Source organism: Homo sapiens, chromosome 6 (assembly GCF_000001405.40).
Source record: "Homo sapiens chromosome 6, GRCh38.p14 Primary Assembly".
NCBI classification, from domain to species: domain Eukaryota; kingdom Metazoa; phylum Chordata; class Mammalia; order Primates; family Hominidae; genus Homo; species Homo sapiens.
In genome coordinates this window covers 114,357,616-114,372,656 of record NC_000006.12, presented here as the reverse complement: position 1 = coordinate 114,372,656, position 15,041 = coordinate 114,357,616, and the positions used below count along the sequence as shown (strand labels likewise).

The following is a 15,041-nucleotide window of genomic DNA, read 5'->3' as shown; positions in this document are numbered from 1 at the left end:
TTCTTGATAAACTGTCTAATAGTTTCTATTTCAAATCATTCAATAAAATGTGAAGTTATCTGTCAATAGGTGTAGGAGAAGCTATAAAATTGCCCCTGTAGAGATTAAGAGAGGGCTATGTCTGTAGAAAATATAAAGATGGCCAGGCAGTGTTGAGGGCCTAGCTCAGCCTGGAGACCATCACTGTGGAGTAGCACCAACTGCTTCTTTCTCTTATTTTCTTCAGTGAATGTAGCCCTGGTGTAGATACGGAGAAAGTGGGTGGTTGGATTGACCCAGAGTTTGTCATTTTAAAGAGTTTGGGTGGTAGCTGAATGTTACTAGAATAGATAAGATTACCTAAGGAAAACATGTCGAAGGAGAAGAAAGCAAAACCAAGGATAAAGTTTCAGACAATGTTAGTATTTAAAGAGTTGGCAGAAAAGGTGTTTACTGATGATGTTAAGGAAATATAATAGCCAGATGAAGGGACAAACATGAAAAGATAGGGGCTAAAAATTAGAGGAGAGAGTTTTAAAAGGCAGGTGTGGTCAATAGTAGCCACTGTAAGCAAATTACGCTGTATGGGGCAGGGAAATACATAATTGGTTATAAAAATTAAGAAGCCCTGAGTGATTTTTTCAAGGGTGGTTTCAGAAACACCCTGAGAAGTCCATGCAGCTACAGCTTTTGCTGAACCAGACCTGAACACTGCTTCTGCTGCTCTGGGACTTACACTAGTGGCCATGGTATTCCCAAGGCCATAAAATACATGACCACAATTAGTGGGCAGAAGCAAATCTCCCTGGAAAAATCTTTGTACGCACAATGCCTTCCCAAAGGCTTTGACCAGAGTGTGTTATCTGTCATCATCTACTCTATTGCATAAACCACCTAGGCCCCTCTGTGGAAGCCATTCAATCAAGATAAAGTCCCTTTACTTTGATAAAGAGAAATAGCAAAGTACAAAGCTGATATTTCCTACCTAATGCCCCTTCCAAGCCCTGTCTTAATTGACTTCTAAGCTCTCGTGTCTGACTTTTTATGGTGATTTTCTTCTGTCTCTCTCTTCTTCAACACTTCTTTCTGCCAAAAAAAAAAAAAAACAAAAATTACATAGGACATGAAAACCTTCTAAATCAACAACAACAACAAAAAAGACTAATCTTTTTTTGTTCTTCTCATTTTCCATTTATATTTTTCATTCCAAAAAATATCCCAAGAGCCCTCCTTGTTTTGGCACACGTGTCATGAAAACCCCAGTCACTTCCTCCCACTCCCAAAGTGCCTGATGAAGGGAACACAAATTTCTCACCATCCAACTTGAGGGAAAGGAGTGGGAGTCATATTACATACCCTAACTTATTAGGGTATGTAATACAAGATTTCCTAATGTGTCAAAAGTGCAAGAAAAGTCTCAGGACCACCCTGCAACTTGAAGTGTCCCTCAGTAAAGAGGAAAATTCTCCTGCTTTTTCAGAAAGCACTGGACAACAAGCATGTTCTAAATGCCATGATGTTAAACATGGGACAGGAGAAACTATTTCACTGGATGTATTCCCCGCTCTAATTTAGCACTATGGCAGAATCAATATGTGGCCACCCAATTTCATTTTATAGTTGTGATGGTTAGTATTGAGTGTCAACTCGGTTGGATTGAAGGATGCAAAGTATTGTTCCTGGGTGTAAAGGAGATTAACATTTGAGTCAGTGGACTGAGAGAGACAGATCCATCCTCAATCTGGGTGGGCACCATCTAATCAGCTGTCAGCATGGCTAGGATAAAGCAGGCAGAAGCAAGCAGAATAAGCAGATTTGCCTCCATCATTCTCCAGTGATGGATGCTTCCTGCCCTCAAACATCAGACTCCAAGTTCTTCAGCTTGTGGACTCTTGGACTTATATCAGTGATTTGTCAAGAACTCTTGGGTCTTCAGCCACAAACTGAAAGCTGCACTGTCTTCTTCCCTATTTTTGAGGTTTTGGGACTCAGACTGGCTTCCTAGCTACTTAGCTTGGAGACAGCTTATTATGGGATTTCACCTTGTGATCATGTGAGTCAATTCTCCTAATAAACTCCCCTTCATATATACATCTATCCTATTAGTTCTGTCCCTTTAGAGAATCCTGACTAATACAATAGTTGTTTTCCAAGTATATATCAAGCTAGCTACCATGCAGTTAAGGAGGGTTATGATTCTGTTCCAGCCAATGAAATGTGAGAAGAGCCAATGTGGCTTGAGATGGACTCCCTGTAATGGTGAAGGTGGAGTTCGTGTATACAGTGGTAGATACACAATATTCAAGCAGACTGGTTTGCATCAGCTGAGACATCACATGGAGAACAGTCATTACCAAGTATCTCTCTACTTGTAATCAGGCTTTTCATGAGTGACAAACTTTTGTTGTTTTAAGCCACAAGATTTGAAGTTTAATTTGTTACTACACAGTGTACATAGTCTTTCCTATCTCGATTAATAGAAGCTTCACACAATTGTAGATCTAAAAGAGATTATTTTCTCCAATTTCTTCCGAGGCCCAGTGAGTATGCGTGACACGTCCAGTATTACAAAATTACTGAGTGGCGCAGAGGAGCCTAGAATGCCAGTCTTCTAACATTTGGTTCACTGTTCTCTCTTTTTTAACAAAGTTTACAATCTACGATATTGGAACAATAGTGTCAAATATTTTCATAGCATGCATTTATCAACATTTTAGAAAAATAGGCACATTTATATACATATGTGTAATAAATAAATATTATTTTAAATGTATGTGTATAAATGCAGAAATGTATATCTTCAATGTCTTTTACATAACGTGTTGGAACTTGGTGCCACCCATCTTGATAAAGATTTGTAGACTCATATTGTTGTTTTAACTAGAAACTGCCTTAAATATTATATATTGTTTAGTTTTTCCTTTGTTGTTGGTAAATGACGAAAAAGAGGCCCAGAAAGTAAAACCATATTTCATGAGTTCATACAATCTGTAGGAGGGTAAGATTTGAGAGGGAATACATTGATAGTCTTTAGGAATTATTTATTATTATTATCTGCTAGGGACTAGGAACAAAGCAAAATAGTGTGAAGAAAATTGCTGTCCATTACATAAGACTGTGGTAATCTCTTGGATTCCTCAGGGGAAGGAGGTGAGGAAAACAATGTCACTCCAACTTGTTTTCCCTTGTGGTTAAATAAGCCATTATGATAAATTACCTCCCACCTTGTGTGCCTATGTGATGTCTCTGCACAAGCTTTCCTTTTTGTGGTGTTTTAGTGTCCTTTCTTGGTAAAGTACTCATGCCCTAGATTCAAATGATCCTCTGTTAGACTGTAGTCTCTGTGAGGCCCTGAGATCCTGAGGTCCAACAGGTCTCTACTAGCGATCTATTTAATTGTCAAAGAGCAATGCAATTCCTTCAGAAAGCTCTGCTAGAAAGATAATATTTCAAATCCCCTCCTGTTTATGAAGTATTTTCTCCATTAGAATTGTGAATATTATATGTACACATCATATACGTAAGCTCAACAGCCATCTTCCATGATATGAGCTGAACATAATCAAAAATCTATGATCTGGCTCTCAGTAACCCAACAATAGAGCTCATAATTCCTCTCTGTTGGTTAACTTTTACCTTGCCTTCACTGGTCAACAAGTAGAAGCTTTTCTTCTTTTTTTTTGGAAAAAAAAAGGTATTTGACACATAGTAACTGTACACATTTATGGGGTACATAACGATGTTTTGATACATATATAGTGATAAGATCAGACAATTAGCATATCTATGAACTCAAACACTTATCCTTTCTTTGTATTGGGAACTTTTAAAAAACTGTTACACCTCAGCATTAAAGGGTCCCAAGCAGGTTGAAAAAGGAAGAAATGCTGGTTATTCCTCCATTGGCAAAATTATGCATATAGCATTGCCTCTTACCAGTTAGCAATAACCATATCTCCCCTATGCCATCATAGTACTTGGGACATATGTTCATTACAGATTATTTCATTGTGACTTAGTATGATTCATTTGTATAAGTCCCTCCTATTAAATTATAAGTGATTTAAGGTAAGGGATTGCTTCGTATATGCCTACATCCCGGCACCAATACTAAAAGTTAAATTTGTTTGTTTCAATAAATAAAAGGATAAATTGCTATGGAAGTAATGATTTGAAAGTGATGGAAAGGATCCCACAAATATAAATAAATTACATGTACAGAAGGTAAGAAAGCGAAATTCAAAGTTGATTCTGACTTCACTGCTTATGAGTTTTACATTCATTTATTTTTCAAGAGGGTCAGGCTCACAAGCCGGCCTTCCTCTTTCTAGGAGAAATGCTTTTTCAGATGCACAGAAATACCCATTCTTGGCTTAAGACATAAAAAGAAAAAACAAGACTCTATGTAGAAATCAGAAAGTAGGGCAGGGCCCAGAAACATGGTATCTGATAAACTCTGTTCTCTGAGAAGGAAGAAGAAAATGCCTTCTCCAACTAACCCAGCCAGCTTCAGCTTCAGCTCACTACATTTTTCAATAGGTGGAAGTATATCAAGCACAGAGTAAGAAGAGGGTCCTTCTAGAGTATAGGATTTGTCTAAATCCTGCACAGAGAGCAAATATAAAGGCACAGGAAATGAAAATTATGGTGCTGGAACCACCCAGACAGCATCCAATGGGACTCTCTCTCCCTTGAATGCCAGTTAAGTGTTAATGAGAAACCTGGGAGTACCCCCAAGATACCATGGCCAAGACTTCTATTCTCCCCATTTTTTTAATCCTCAAGCTGAATATCATCACAACAGGCACTTATTCACAGGGACAGTTAAAAGGATGTTTGTAATATGGCTTGAAACCCCTCAGGTGAAATTGGCTTTCTGAAGACAAAGCTGCGGTGATGGATCTAACTTCCTCTCACTTCCTGTAACTTGCTCTGCTTCCTAAAGCTCTATTCTCTGAGTTGACCTTGCTTAGCTGGTATTATATTTTAGATAAACCTATCTATTAATAATTTACTCATTTCTCATTTACATTATGTTATGTTTGTTTTTTAAGGAAGTAAGAGTATTGATTTTAATTCCTATATCATGAAGCAAATTATTTCTGACCTCTGTATGTACAGAAGATATGCACTTAAGCTGCAACTCTTACTGGCCATAAAATACCCTGCTGAATCATGAATAGTAAAGCAAATAACTTTCCATCTTGAGGCCAAGGGTGCATACTTCCATGGGAAAACAAAATAAGGTGATTTAATTTTAAGAAAAAAAAATCATGTAGAAATTGGGGAAAATTTAAGGAGGACTATAAGAGTTTAATATAAGAAAATCTAAATATTATTGCCATAATTGTAATGCTACAGGGGAAAATATATTCAGAATTGTATCATCCCTTTATAATTGAAAGACAACTATATTTTCCTCAGGAAGTTCTTACTTTAGTGAACACCAATCCTTACCTTAACTTCCCAGGATATAATTTTTTCTTATTTGTCTAGCCACTCTATTGAGGCATATAAGGTCATGGCCTTGGAAATGCTCTATACACACACACACACACACACATACATACACACATCTATGACATCATCAAAAATTTTTAAGGCTAATTTATAATTATCCTTTAAGATTTCTTATATGTACATGGTATTACTACTGTTTCCTTCCAAAATCATGAGTGTTCTGAATTTTGTGAAATTGATCCTTCTAAAATGTTTAAGCTAGAAGGGAAAGAAATATGGATGCACCACTGGGAAAAGAGAAGGAAAGGTGATGTAGTAGGGGGTGAGTTCTCTCTGCTAGGACCTCTGCAAAAGCAAAAGTTAAAAAGGGATTAATAACAGGGTTGATTTGCAATAGAGTCCAAACTCACATTGCTTTGACTCTTTGTTCTTATTCTGATAACACAAACCAAAACATATTCAAAATTGTAGGATACAAACATATATAGATTTTAGGCTGATGAAACGCTTCTCTTTGGGACCATTATCATCCTTACCCTCATCAGTGCTTCCCTAAATGTTTCAGTACACACTGGCTTCTCCCTTTCTGCCTTCTGTGTTCTGCCTTCTTTGTTAACTATCCTTATACTCAATCCCAAACAATTTACCAGGTTGCTTGCATATGATCATCTTTTCTAACATTTTCTTATCGTCCCAACGATACTGTGAACTCCAGGAAGACACGGTTTGTTTTTTCATGCACCAAAAAAAAAAAAAAAGAAAAGAAAAGAAAAAATCCAGCACTATGTATGACTCTTTATATTTCCAGCTTCTACACAGTGCCTGGCCCATAGCAAATGTTAATTCTGTGTTTAATTAGTTAGTTGCAATAGCTGAAGAATGATTTATATTATTTATCTAGAAGCTAACAATGGTATTTCCATTTTAATAAACAGATAGTAAGAATATAATTTTGCTCTTAGTCTTCTTTAAAGTTGTCACAATAGAACTCTGGAAGGGAAATGTATCTATCCCATGCCATTTTACATTTTAAAACCCACAAAAAGCCATCTAAACCTCTAGGACAAGTGTAGGTTTAAGTGGCTTCCCGCCTGTTCCAATTAAAAAAAAACACTACTAAGCACTGTAAAGTATAAAAGAACATTAAAATATCATCATTTGTGATTTTGTGACACAATTCTCTAATGTGCAGTTTTACACATTCATCCAGTTGGTCATTAAGGCAATTTTTGTGATAGTTGTTTTTATCTTTATTTAGATCTGAGTAATAGTTATACCAGATAGTTTTCAAATTTGTGTATTCTTAAAGAAAATTGAGATAAAGCACTGATGAGCATACTTTTACGCATTATTATAGTTATTCTTTTTTTTTTAAAAAAAAAAACTTCATTTCCGTTGGGTGCCATGGCTCACACCTGTAATCCCAGCACTTTGGGAGGCTGAGGCGGGTGGATAGCTTGAGCCTGAGCCCAGGAGTTCAAAACTAGCCTGGGAAACATGGCAAAACCCCATCTCTACAAAAAATATACAGAAATTAGATGTGTGTGGTGGTGGGCACCTGTAGTCCCAGCTACTGGGAAAGCTGAGGTGAGAAGATCACTTGAGCTTGAGAGGTTGAGGCTACAGTGAGCTGTGTTTATGCCACTGCATTCTAGCCTATTCAACAGAGGTAGACTCTTTTTCAAAAATAATAAAATAAACTTCGTCTCACAAGTATGTAAGTAAAAATCAATATGTACTTAAAATAAGGCATGCCATTAATATTTAGATGCAACAAATTGCATTTTCTCAATATCAAAGTGCTTGGCAAGATAGCTCATTTTGTATTATCAATTTTTTTTTTATTTTCCAGAGGTGAAAATTTACAGAGAATTATGTCATAATCAATCACGATAAGGAAAATACATTAACTGTGGGCTATTAAAGAAAATCTTTTATGTGCTTGTGATCCACCTCCAGGTAGATTTATTGACATATAATAGATGTCAAATAACTCTAAATGGTTGTCTAGTGGTAATAATTACATTTTGGGGCCACACTTTATCAAGTCGATTTTATATATAAGAATTTTACTACCCAACTGACAATGTTATGATGGGCTCTTCTCTCCTAACTGATGATATTTTGTTAAATACCATGATCAAACCTTCAGCACTTCTTGAAATTAGGTTGAAGACATCTTGCAAAATTAACATTTCACATACAGTTTGAATTCAGAGGTGTGTTTAACTCTTGAGACAGAAGGAAATCAAGGAATCATATTTAGCAGTTGTTTTTGCTCTCAATCTGTCACGTTTTCTAGATAAATACAACACTGATGTGAAGAAGTAAATTTTCATATGACTTCTGTAATCTCTAACAGCTCATTCCATGTGTATATTTATATAGTTTTATCTCCCTATGCAGGATCAAAGTTGATGTCCAGCAGCCTCTCTCTGGTTCCTCCCATTAAATTCACACCACATGCCTCCACCAGCTTTTGTGTAATTAAACTTGCTATTTTTAACACACAAGCAGAAACCATTGAAAGGTAATGGTAACTGTTGTGTAGATGAAAAAGGCCTATTTGTCACCATTCATTATACCAATTCAGCCATGATAAATGAACAGAAATGGAGTATTCTCCTTATTTCTAGTGCAACTCCCCTAAGCTCATGGTCTGAATGCTGAGAGAGGGTGCTCTGTAGGGAGATGGCATGCATAATGCGGAAATACTTAACAGCACTTTGCAGTCTGGAGCCAGAATGGCCCAGATCTGACTCATCTCCATGTCAAGCTTGTTTGGCATTTAGCTAATGTGTAATTTTATTTTGACATGAATCATTGAAACTTAAACATGTTAAACTAAATATTTGAACTCTACATAAAACTCTTTTTAAAAAAAACTAAAGTATATATTTAAAGCCTTTTAAAAAGTGCCTTAGCTAAACATAAAATAATTATACATAATAGTCTCAAAGATTCCTGACTTTTCTCTTTTGAAGGGGTAGACTATTCTTGGCATATTGATATTTTGCTTTGAATAAAAGGAAAATTATTTCAGTATGAACTTGGCTCTTCAGAATGAGGTGATGTGAAAGCTCAGCATTTATCAGATAAGCTAGAAATTCAGGTCATCAGTGACTGAGGACTTGGGGTCCATAAACACCAGAGGGCAAATCTTTGTATTATCTGGGTAAGTACTGCCTTTTCTTTCTAGGCCATTTAAACTTGAATGGAGAAATAGAAAAGTTAAAAGATAGAGTAGGAAATTTAGAAAAAGTCACTTTTAACATAACTAAACATGGTCTTTCTGATGTTGTTAACATTTTAAACTGATGATCTGAAGAGAAGAGTTGTGATATTAAACCTTAGATTTAGCATATAGGCATCCACTGGAAAATACAGGATAGAAACCAACTCTGACTGGAGACATTCTGGATCTAGTTAAGGGACAGTCTTCCAATCTAATCCAACGAGTACTTCACCCAGAATTCAGGCATCTCAAAACTTACAAACTTTATGAAAGGCCCAACCTTACTTCCTACGTTTTAGAAAAGCATATTGTGGGTACTAGTGGAGCATCACAGTACTGAGATCAAAAATGGTATTCTTTATAACCTGACTCCAACTTGCCTCTCTGCCAAATGGTTTTCCTAGAACCTAGAACTTTTCTAGGAAAAGTTTCAAATTTGAAAACAGCAAAAAAAGAAAATTTTTTCATGACAACCAGTTGTTGAAGAAAGCTCAACTTACCAAATAAAATGAATATGAAATACAAAACACAATATTAGAATATTTGTAAAGGCAATGGAACCCAGTCCTAAAACAAGTTGTAATAAAATAAAGTGATTGAGTTTTTATTTGGATCATGAATCAATTCAGAAAATATAGAAATAATTGAATTTCCAATTTTGCACTAGTGACAAAAAGGCTAAGGGTAGCTTGCTATAGCGGTATCAAATGCAGAGTCATGGCCCTCCCAGCCATAGTTGAAGGAACCAACTCAGTGAGTGGAATGGTATGAAAGGATGAAAACCTCCCCTGACCGCTGCTCAATTCCCTCCAGCAGAGCTGATTTAAATTAAAAAAAAAAAAAATGCCCTTTTGCACTACATTGGCCTTTTCTGTGAATAGGTCAGCCAGGTGCAAGCTACCAGATGTGACTTTCCATGGTCTCTAAGCCCCAGGAGGCCATTTATCTCTTTTATTAGATAGGACTCAGTGCTAAAAAGAGGTGTGGCAGAACCAGCATCTTACTATTAGGGTATCTGAATTTGTCAAAATTTTAGCTTTTTCAATAGGAAAAGCACTCTGAATGTGTTGTTTCTCTTCATTACATCATGATTTTATCATAAAACAGACTTCTCAGTAGTTTGGGAATAGTTTAGACGCGCTTATAAAGCCATCTCCGACAGCCTAGATTATTTTATACTTCTACAAAATGCCCTTTTCACCCACTTTACCTAGATTTCTTAATGATTCAAAACATGTTGAATAACTTATGTAAAGATTTTAAGAAACTTGAAGAGACAGTTTACAAAGCTCAAATATCTAGTGGGGCTTTACTGGAGAACCTCATAACATTGAAAGAATGCTTTTGTACTGTCAGCGCTCCCCTTGGGAAGCCCTCACCAAAGCTCAGGCCCCATCTCGTGCTTTGTGGCTTTTCCCCTAGAAAACTGCAGATGCTTCTTTCTCCTTGAGGAAACTTGAGGGTCTCCAATCCCATATTTCCACGTCTCAGTCACCAACCTAACCAGATAAACTAATCTCAGCTGACATTTAAAAGACCTTTCCAAAGATAACACGTACTCAATTTAACATTCCCCTACCTGCTTCTTCTTCTCTAAGTCAATGAGACCTAAAACTGGCTGCCTTTAGAATAATCTAGACAGCTCCTTAAAAATGCAAATTCTTGGGGCTGGTTGCGGTGGCTCACACCTGTAATCCCAGCACTTCGGGAGGCTGAGGCAGGTGAATCACCTGAGGTCAGGAGCTCGAGACCAGCCTGACCTACATAAAGAAACCCTGTCTCTACTAAAAATACAGAAATCAGCTGTGTCTAGTGGTGGGCACCTGTAATCCCAGCTACTAGGGAGACTGAGGCATTAGAATTGCTTGAACCCAGGAGGTAGAGGTTGCAGTGAGCCGAGATTGTGCCACTGTACTCCAGCCTGGGTGACAGAGCAAGACTCTGAGAAGGAAGGAAGGAGGGAAGGTAGGAAGGAAGGAAGGAAGGAAGGAAGGAAGGAAGGAAGGAAGGAAGGAAGGAGAAAGAAAGAAAGAAAAGAAAGAAAGAAGGAAAGAAAGAAGGAAGGAAGGAAAGAAAAGAAAGAAAGAAAGGAAGGAAGGAAGGAAGAGAAAGAAAGACAGGCAGAAAGAAAGAAAGAAAGAAAAAGAAAGAAAGGAAAGAAAGAAAGAAAAGAAAGGGAGAAAGAAAATTCTTGAGCTATACTCCAGACTTTTATTCTGCAAGTCTAAGGGGACTCAGGAATCCCCAAGTAAGTTTGGGAATAATTTGGTCAACACATCAATGGCTATTGTGGAAAATTTGTGATCACAATAATTGGTAAGACACTATCTCCAGGCAATAAACAAATTCATGATCTCAATATTGACAGATCTCGGTTCAAATCTTTATCACTTGTGAGTTGCTTGGCCTCTCTGAGCCTCAACTTTGTCCGTTAGGGAAAAAAAAGATGTAATAATACTTGCCCAGGTTGTTATGTGAATTGAATAAGAGAATTTTGTCAAAGATGTTAATATGAGGTAAGAAAAAGAAAATTGGGAAAAGGGAGGCAAAACAAATCTTAGTACAGAAATAATGGTTATGCAAGGCAGTGCTGAAAGAAGTAGTCAGCTATACTGCTTTCCTGGGGAGGAATTAAAGTCATTACACTCTTCTGGGCTCTGGGTGGAATAATTCTGGATGGAAATTAAGAATTGAGGAGATTAAGAGGTGGTCTTGCTTAGGACACAGGGAGCTTCCTGTGAATTCCTGAGAATTCCATTCACTGAGTTAACATAATTGCTGAATGCTTACTGTCTTCCAAACACTGTTCTAACGCAAACTATGCCATATAAGAATGTAAGAATGACATTGTTCCCAATCTGTTGGAATTTATATTCTAGTTGGAGCAAGGCTGGTAATATACAAATAGACAAATTAGAAGTAAATAGATGAGCAAGAAAGATCAGAATCAGAAAAGAATGACTTTTAAAAGTCACCTTCTTGGTGAGATATTTTAATATTATAATACACAAAACTATGAAATGACATGGTAAAGTGCAGGTAAATTGATAATCTAAGTTAGGGCTTGATTTTCTTGTTGCCATGAGGTTAAAGGTGGACAAATATCCTTTAATATCAGGTCAGCTATAGAGACAGCAGAAATGACTGAGCGCTCACAGTGTGTCAGGCACTGTTTGAAATGTTACTCTTTCAGGAACCTTGTGAGATTCCACGATCATCCCATTTTACAGAGAAGGAACCTGAAGTAGCTTCCCCATTGTCACTGAGTTTGCCAGGGGAAGTAGAGCTTGAATTTAGGCAGTCTGACTCCAGAGCCCAGACACTGAAATCACGCTTGCACCCCCTGAGAAGGACGTTGCTGTGACCTCCGGCTTCCCTGGTTTCTTCTCTTCAGTGTTGTTTCCATGGAAAGAGTTAAAAACTCCACATCCCTGGCATTCCTTTGACAGAGTTTTGTCCATATACAACTAAAGATAAATGAGCCCCAAGCCCTAGGTGTTTGGAAGCTATGATATGAGAAAAAATAATTGGGTTATTTTATTCGTATATTGCTTTAACTTGCACTATGCAATAAAACTCCATTAATCCACACTTCACTGATCTCATGTGAAGATAACCAACTAAACTATATGTAATTAAGAAATGTTACTTTTTCTTCAGATAGTTCTTTAGAGTCTTATTTGTAAAGTAGGCAAATCCAGTTTTTTAAAAAAGAGTCATTTATTTTTGGTTCTAGTAATTAAATTTATTATGTTATCAAAGTAGCTTATTCTTAGGATATAGTATAAAACCAGGGATTTTGTGAAGTGTAGTTTTTACAAACTTAGCTTTATTACTTATTAAAATCCATTTATATCTTAGTTAATAATACTAACTTTCCTTGACATTACTAAAACTCCACTTGTTCCCAAATATTTTCTCAGGCAGATTTCTCACATTTTTCTTTCATTATTCCAAATGAATGAGGTTTTAAAGTGTTCACATTTATGGGACTACATATAAAAATAATAATAAACACCAACTTTTAAAATTATGTTCTTTTTCATTTTGCAGAGATTGCTTAGAGAAATAAAAATGTAAATGGTACAAATTTACAGCCCTTGATTCATGGAGCAATCCTTCCCAAGTGGATAGAAGAAGCCCACAAATATCCAGCCACATAAAACTTTTAATGCAGACATTTCAAACACCACCAGATTTTTGTCACTTCTTTAAAGGAGGGAAATTTTTGTGTTGAACAATAGGAAACCATGAACAGCTGGTTTCGACTGAAGCCTAGTTTTCATATTTTAAACATGATCATTTAAGGTCAGAGAAACCAAAACTTGATAAATTAGTGTTAATTTTTGAAAAGAAGAAAGACAGCTTGTTTTGAGAACTTACCATGAGCCAATACCTCTATTAAGTACTTTCCATGAACATTCACAATGTCCTGTGAGATGTGCCCTCTGATTATGCCCAAGCAGAGGAGAAACTGGCCTGCCAATTGGTGGAGTGCCTGCTGGGTCACAGTAAAGGATGATGCTGGTGTTAGAATCTCACCCACCTGCTTCAGCAGGGTGGGCTCCAGATGAGCTTTTCTTTCCTGAGAAGTGCCCAGGGAACATGATCAGCATTGGTCTTTTTTACATCCCTATATCAGCATCAGGCTTTGGGTGGTAATTTACAGTGACTTGGAGAAGAAGAAGTGTACTGGCCAGTTGATGCCCTTGAGTAATAGAGAGTACCAGTCTACGGGGCTATGCCAGCTCGGGGACCTCAGGGAAGGCTTTTGATTCTGTCCAAACAGCCTATTCATTATGGGACTACATATAAAAATGATAATAAACACCAACTTTTAAAATTATGTTCTTTTTCATTTTGCAGAGATTGCTTAGAGTAATAAAAATGTAAATGGTACAAATTTACAGCCCTTGATTCGTGGGGCAATCCTTGAATTAAATGTGGCCAAGACAGCATACACATCTCTTGACACATTTACCCCTTCCCAGACCTCAATTGTTTTGGGGAGAAACTTCAAAACAAGGATTTTCATATGTGGTATAAAAATAAATATGTTCTTATTTACAAATTTTAAATCTACCAGAAACATATTACATGTTCACGAGTAAGACTTCCCTACACATTTATCTCCTATTGTTTTCCCTTCTCTTTTCCCATAACCTTCTATTTTCTCCCTCCTATTCTCTTCCTTTCTGGCATTTCTCTCTTGCCTTCATCTATTTGAAGGAGGAAGGAGGTGAGAAAGGAAAACATGGGAAAAAAGAGAAGTTATGGCAAAGCAATTATGCTTAGCACTTCTTTTATATGTAGAATATGCTTGTGCCATACACTTCTTGGATATTTGCTTCCTGGTTTTAAACTTTATTTCTTTAGATGAAATTCTTTAGAACTACTGAGGGTGACTTTTTTTCCTTACATTTTTTGTGCCTCAAGCAGAGAACTTGAGTTCTACTTTCTGGATGCATGTCTTGGTAAATGTGTGACTTTGGACAAGCAATAGCCCCTTGCATTTTTCACTTCATCATCAATTATACAGAGAATAATACATGTTTTACCAATCAGACAGGGCAGCTGTGAAGATGAAAAGAAACAGCAAGGAAGCCACACTGACAAAAGACTGATTTTATGAGCAATTCTGGTCGCACCATAACATTTCTGTTCCTTTCCCCTTCCTTTCTCCATAGTCTTATTTCCTCTTTTCTGCCTTTCTCATCTGCCATTTTAGCAATGTCTCATTTATTTGACATATCAATAAATAAGGTGTTCCATTAGAAATTAATGGATTTTTTTGCCAAAGTAAACCATGGAAGTTAATTTTTTTAGATTTCATCATTTTAAATGGTATATTTTAAATCCAAGATTTACTTATATTCTGCCTCTTTAGACATAGTTTATCAACACAATTTACATTTCCTGATGGTTCAGGATTATCTTCACTATAAACACATGATGCTCTCCCTCAAATTTTTGACACCCACCCCATGCTGCCATTAGTACATACTGCCTCAATTACTGGAACCTACTTCTATTGTTTCACCTTAACCTACAGTCTAACTTATGTTTTACAATCTTTCTTCCCAAATAACTCTAAGTTCCTTGATGATACAGACTGTCGTTCATTTAATTCCATGTCCCAGTGCTTTGCATGGTGTCCACATTCCAGTATGAGTTTAGTAAGTACTACCTGAAGTTATAAAAGTCACTGATAACCTGAAAACCTATTCATTTTTAGGAGAGAAGGAACTATTTGCAACACCCATGTTGGTTTACACAGATTTAATCTTCACAACTGAATAAGGAAGGTAATATTACTATCTCCATTTTAGAAATGAGAAAACTGAGGCTCAGATAACTTAAATACCTG

General features: G+C 36.7%; 1 long non-coding RNA gene across 2 annotated transcripts in view, besides 2 other annotated features; it reads right to left on the bottom strand.

Moving 5' to 3' along the window:
- Nucleotides 1-15,041, bottom strand: part of LOC107986638 (uncharacterized) — a 131,875-nt gene that overhangs the window by 101,543 nt on the left and 15,291 nt on the right. For both annotated transcript variants that reach the window (XR_002956366.2, XR_002956367.1), the window contains exon 2: nt 965-1,065. This is a non-coding gene — a long non-coding RNA (uncharacterized LOC107986638). The remainder of the gene's footprint in view (nt 1-964; nt 1,066-15,041) is intronic.
- Nucleotides 9,269-9,858: an enhancer, noted in NCBI's record as "OCT4-NANOG hESC enhancer chr6:114683963-114684552 (GRCh37/hg19 assembly coordinates)". NCBI's record gives its function as "activates a minimal SCP1, AML or CMV promoter by ChIP-STARR-seq in primed H9 embryonic stem cells {active_cell/tissue: H9 hESC(primed)}" and the evidence as "EXISTENCE:reporter gene assay evidence [ECO:0000049][PMID:30033119]".
- Nucleotides 9,859-10,450: an enhancer, noted in NCBI's record as "NANOG-H3K27ac hESC enhancer chr6:114683371-114683962 (GRCh37/hg19 assembly coordinates)". NCBI's record gives its function as "activates a minimal SCP1, AML or CMV promoter by ChIP-STARR-seq in primed H9 embryonic stem cells {active_cell/tissue: H9 hESC(primed)}" and the evidence as "EXISTENCE:reporter gene assay evidence [ECO:0000049][PMID:30033119]".